The following is a 5,448-nucleotide window of genomic DNA, read 5'->3' as shown; positions in this document are numbered from 1 at the left end:
AAATTCCTCCTCTATCTTCAAGGAAGTCTTGCAACCATATTTAATGGTGATGCTAGTAAACTTTTAAATACACTGTGAATGTAAACATAGTCAATATAGTTTGTAGATGTGCCGATTAAGGCAGATATTAGAGGTATGGTTTGATTTCCAAACTTGTCTTTGTCCTCCAGACTGGGGACGATTTAAGCTTTGTCTTCCAGATTGGGGACTGTTTAAAGCTTAATAATTGATAAAATATGGCCAGTCAAATGGAAAGAGCAGAGACAAACATAGAAGAATGGACAAAAACGGAAAAAGTGATCAATGGGGAAGAGAGGAATCACTTCAAAGACTTGAGAACTGCAAAGATTTGAGAAAACCACAGGTCTCTTGATCTCAGATTCTTGGTAAAGGGAGGCTAGGATAGGAGCCCAGAAGTGCAAAGCAGGTCTGCTCAAGCTGTTATCCAAATTGGCTAAGAGCAGATACACTTCAAGGGGTATGAACAATTTTAAGCTGAAGAATAAAACTAAGATCTGTTCATAGAATTGGTCTCAGGCCTAGAAGTAGTGTTTAAATCAAGAGATCTGGATCCCAGATGATCAAGATTAGATTGAGAAAAAGAGCAGGGAGGCAACAAGGTGACAAAGGGATCATTGTAACATTTGAGACCAGCAAGGATGCTAAGAACTCATTCTTGTTAGATAGTTCTATAAGGAAAGCAGTTTTGCTAATTTAAAGAGGCAATACTGGAATAAACCCTTGCATTTGGATGTCGTATTTTAGGGAAATCTGCCCAAACTTTGTGCTTTCTCTACCTTCCTGATATGGTTTATGTGTGTGTCTCCACCAAAATCTCATGTCAACTTGTAATTCCCAAAGTTGGAGGTGGGGCCTGGTGGGAGGTGATTTGGTCATGGGGGCAGATTTCCCCCTTTGGTGCTGTTTTTGTGATAGTGAATGAGTTATCACAAGATCTGGTTCTTTAAAAGTGTATAGCACCACCCCTCACTTCTCTCTCTTCCTCCTGTTCCAGCCTTGTAAGACGTGCCTACTTCCCTTTTCACCTCCTGCCATGATTGTAAGTTTCCTAAGGCCTCCCAGACATGCTTCTTGTATAGCCTGCAGAACCATGAGCCAATTAAACCTCTTTTTCTTTATAAATTGCCCAGCCTCAGGTAGTTTTTTATAAAAGTGTGAGAACAGACTAATACACTTCCTTACCCTTACTAATCAATATAAATTTGGTGGCAAGTAATGTATATTTGTTAATAGCTCCCGGTGTATGTGTGATTTGTATAATATGAAATTATTCATGGAATATGCAATGTATTCCCTGTTGAGAGCACCATATATTAATTCATTCTACAAATATTAATTGGATACATACTGTTTGTAAGTTCTGTTGTAAACTGCTAAGTATGCAGATGTGAATAAAGCAGACACGTATCTGTTCTCATGGAAGACATTCTAATGAGAGATGTGAGCATTAGATAAATTAAATAGTAACAAATTCCAGGCAGAGTCTCAGAACAATGCGATGTGATAATGACTGAGTGGCTACTCTAGATTAGGGTGGTCAGAAAAGCTCTTTGAAAAGGTGGCACTCAAGCTGCATCCTAAATTTTAAGAAACAGAAATCTGGGCTGATTGGGATTCGGGGTCTAGATGAAAGACAGGGAATAGAAACAAGACAGGTTGCATGATCTAATATCTTGGGAAGTACTGGGGGAAACCACAGGTGTTTGAATTTAATCTCACGTCTACTTTGAGCCCCTCTTTTCAGAAGCATTGCTACAAGAAAAATGTCCAGAGGGAGTTTTTAAAATTTGGAATCTTCTCTAACAGAGAAGAATAAAGAACTACTACTAAGTTGAAAGGAAAATGTAGATTTCTGTAGGGGAAAAAAGAGATGAAGCCACTAGGGTTTTATTGTACCAGCTGAGTTTCATAGCTGAATTTGATACTTGCTACATCCCCTGCACACCTGAATGAAATAAATGAGAAATGCAGGAGATGAAGGTACAAATCCAATTTCCCCTTTGCAACAAGAGTCAGTAAGTCTTTGCTGCCTTCTGCATTTGAGAACCTATCTACATTTTATCCTCCTTCATAAACAATGTTTAGATAAACCCAGTGAATAATGGGGTTGAAAGGAAATTTTAAAGGTCATTTTGTGTATACTCCTTGCTTCAGGCAAGATTGCAGTCATGCCCACCCAAGAAGTAGTCTTCTCTTATGTCAAGTTTTGTTCCAGATGATGTTTATTTTTTCCAGGGCAGGGAGTTGAAGTAGGAAGAAGAGTAATGAAGAATGTGTTTGCCTTAAAAGCATAAGCAGAGTTATTTTTAATGTAAGTGCCCTCCCCTTTTTGTAATGCCAGGGGCAGAGTATTCTCCAAATGCCTTATACACTTACTTTCAGCACTAAATGTATTTGTGCAAATCCCATGAATCATCAAGGCTTTTGAAAATATTTATAGGGAGAGAAACTCAACCCTTTTCATTAGAGTGAGTAAAACTCACACTGGTATCTTGCTATTGTTTAAGGAGAACAATGGATGGGTGGATGAAAGAGAATGTCAGCTGGATCAACAAACAGCTGTTCCAACAGAAGTCCTGCTATCCTATACAATAAAGCAGTATTAATTGCTGCCTTCCCTGGAGTCTCTAAAGATACTCGGTAAGTGTACAGTACCCTGATGAACTAAAGCCAAAAGTTAGGGCTGATTTCGGGCTTCATCACGGTGAACACCTCACCTCCAGAGAGAAAGTTGTAGGCCTTTAAAGCTTTTGATCTCAGAGAAGACTCCACCGCCTTTCAAGGCAATAAATTCTTGCCTCTTCTCCAAATACTCTAACTGAAACTTCTGCTGTTGCAGTATAATTCAATGTGTTTTTTTCCAGACTTCAATGAAAGCAAGAATTCTCATTCTGCATGTAATTATATCCCTTATAATACCCACAGCCTCCTGCAATATTACTTTTTCTAGGCCAAATAAATAATTTTTTTTCTAAAGGCAGTTTGGTATTCAGTAAAAGTTATAGTAATTGGGCACAGTTCTGGATGAGATTCTTGGCTCTAACATTGACTAATAATATGGGCAACTAATTTATTAAGTATGATACCCAGTTTAGTCAACTTTCTTAAAGAGTCGTTGTTAGGATTCAATGTAATAATACATAAGAATTATTTATGATAGCATTCTTAATACACACTGATACACACTATGTAACAATTTTATCACTGCTTATCCACCTTTTTTCTTATCAATGGATGTTTTCCAAGTTTTTATCTGTTGTTTATGTCATAGAGTACAGATACAGGTTCAGTTATCTAAGAACTGTAAATTCTTCAAGTAATGGAAAGATAACCTTACACTTCATAACTAATTCACATTTCTAAACACTTTACTAACAATAAAGTATAAATCTTGTGAATTAATATTTTGCTTATGGTCCAAAGTGACCCATAAATCTTTTTCTGGAATCTTCTTGAAGCCTATCTTAACTAACATATATTCAGAGATCATTTTTCTTTTCTTTACATAGTATTGCAAGCAGTGTTAAATTATATCTACACATTTCTCAAATTCTCAAAGCATTTTAAATACTTTTTTATCTTGGAATCAGATAAAATATTGTCAACAACAGTATTTCTGGTCATTATTCTGTCATCCAAATTATAAATAAAAATAGTAAATAAAGTCTTTATAATTGCCAATTTGGAGGGTAAAACATTTGATATATCCTATGCACATAATACATAAAAATGTGCTTTTAAACCAAATTATCTTGTACTTACGAGTCATGCCGTAGTTTTTTTTCACCAATAAAGTTCCAGAAGTCAAGGTAAGAAGGCTGAAGGGCATATTCTTAGAGACTTAAACTGCAAGAGGAAAAAAAATTGCAAGCGTGTAAGTTATAACACAACTTGGCGACTTGTTATGGAGTCCCTCTCTTTCCGGAAATCCCAGATTCCTGATAATAGAAGAGGATCCCAGACAGTTATCACCCTAAGCATTTTCATTCAAGATCACCTGAGTCTAGCTTCTGCTCTTAAGTACAAATTCTCTACCATGATTTTTACAGCTCCCCACCACTGCCTTCTGTGTTTCTCTCTTGCACTAACCTCCCCTGACAGTAGAGGAGGCAGAGCATTCCAATGAACCTATGTGAATAAAGTCTCAGAGACACAAAAAAATCTTGGCATATTAAGGAATATGTGGAAATTTGAGGTAGCTGGAGAAGACAGGAGCCTGTGAAGAGCAGCAGGAAGTGGTCCAAGGTGATAGGTTGGGGTGAGAATAACTATCAACATAAAGAAGTAGATTTAGTTCTATGGACAATAGAAAACTAACAGAAGAGTTTGGTTCTTCAGTTGTTTTGTTTTATTTTTACACAGAAGCAAGTTCTCATTAGACTTATTTTTGGAAGATGACTGATGAGTAATGGTGAGGAAGATGAACTGGAAGGGTTAACAGGTAGAAGCTGAGATCAGCCAATAGTGGAGATCTAGGTGAGTCATGATAAAGCCCTGATACAAGTCTCTGCTAAATTAATTTTCTTATCTCAGGGTCAAATAATAACGTGTTTGGGTAAGTGTGTGCAACCACCACATTAACTTTTTAATCTGTCACGAGAACATGTCTCAGAAACACAGGGCAGAGAGGGGCCATAAAAGATGTTCCTCCAACCCATGTCATGGTTTAATCTTCTCTAATTTGGAATGTCAGTTTGCAGAACACAGTTCTTGAACTAAATGATGACTGCCTGAGTTTACTGTTCAAATTTCCGAAGATTATACTTAATGTGATTTTTTTTTCCCCCAAGAATCTCTTAACCACTACATTAGCTTGGAGAGTCCTGCTACATCCATCTCTTGACAGTGAGACTGAATCCCATTATACTATAACCCTTAGCTCAGTTTTAAATGTCCTGCACTTTACTAGTAAATTGCCTACATGAAGACTCAGAAACCTACACTGGTTGTAGTCTATTGTGGAGGCTCTGTTATTGTCCCTTGGTTTAGAGTGGATGGCTATCACACATCATGAGATTCTAGAACCTGGGGCTTCTCTCGGATAAAGAAAGATAACCTAAAGTCAGCTGTATTCAAGGCTCTGACAATTGCTGATAAAGCTAAGAGGATATAAAGATCATCATAGCCATTTCACTCCTCCTGAAGTAATAGTCAAACATTATCTAACAATCAGCTGCTGGGATTAAACTGCAGATGGCTTGCTGAGATAGTCCATCTTAGTCCTGGCCCAGTCAGTATCTCTTTTGGCAGCTTAACTCCAGTGATGTCAGAACATTTCATGAGTCTCATAAGATTGACCAAGACATTTACTCTGTACTATCTATTAAAATAAAGGCCTTCTTTTTTAACCTTTCCCTCTAATTACCAGACATTCTCTCCCAGTAAACCACCAACACATTTCCCAGGAACAAATGTCAATTTCACATT

This window comes from Homo sapiens, chromosome 11 (genome assembly GCF_000001405.40).
Source record: "Homo sapiens chromosome 11, GRCh38.p14 Primary Assembly".
Classification (NCBI taxonomy): Eukaryota; Metazoa; Chordata; class Mammalia; order Primates; family Hominidae; genus Homo; species Homo sapiens.
Note: the sequence above shows the minus strand (reverse complement) of the source record.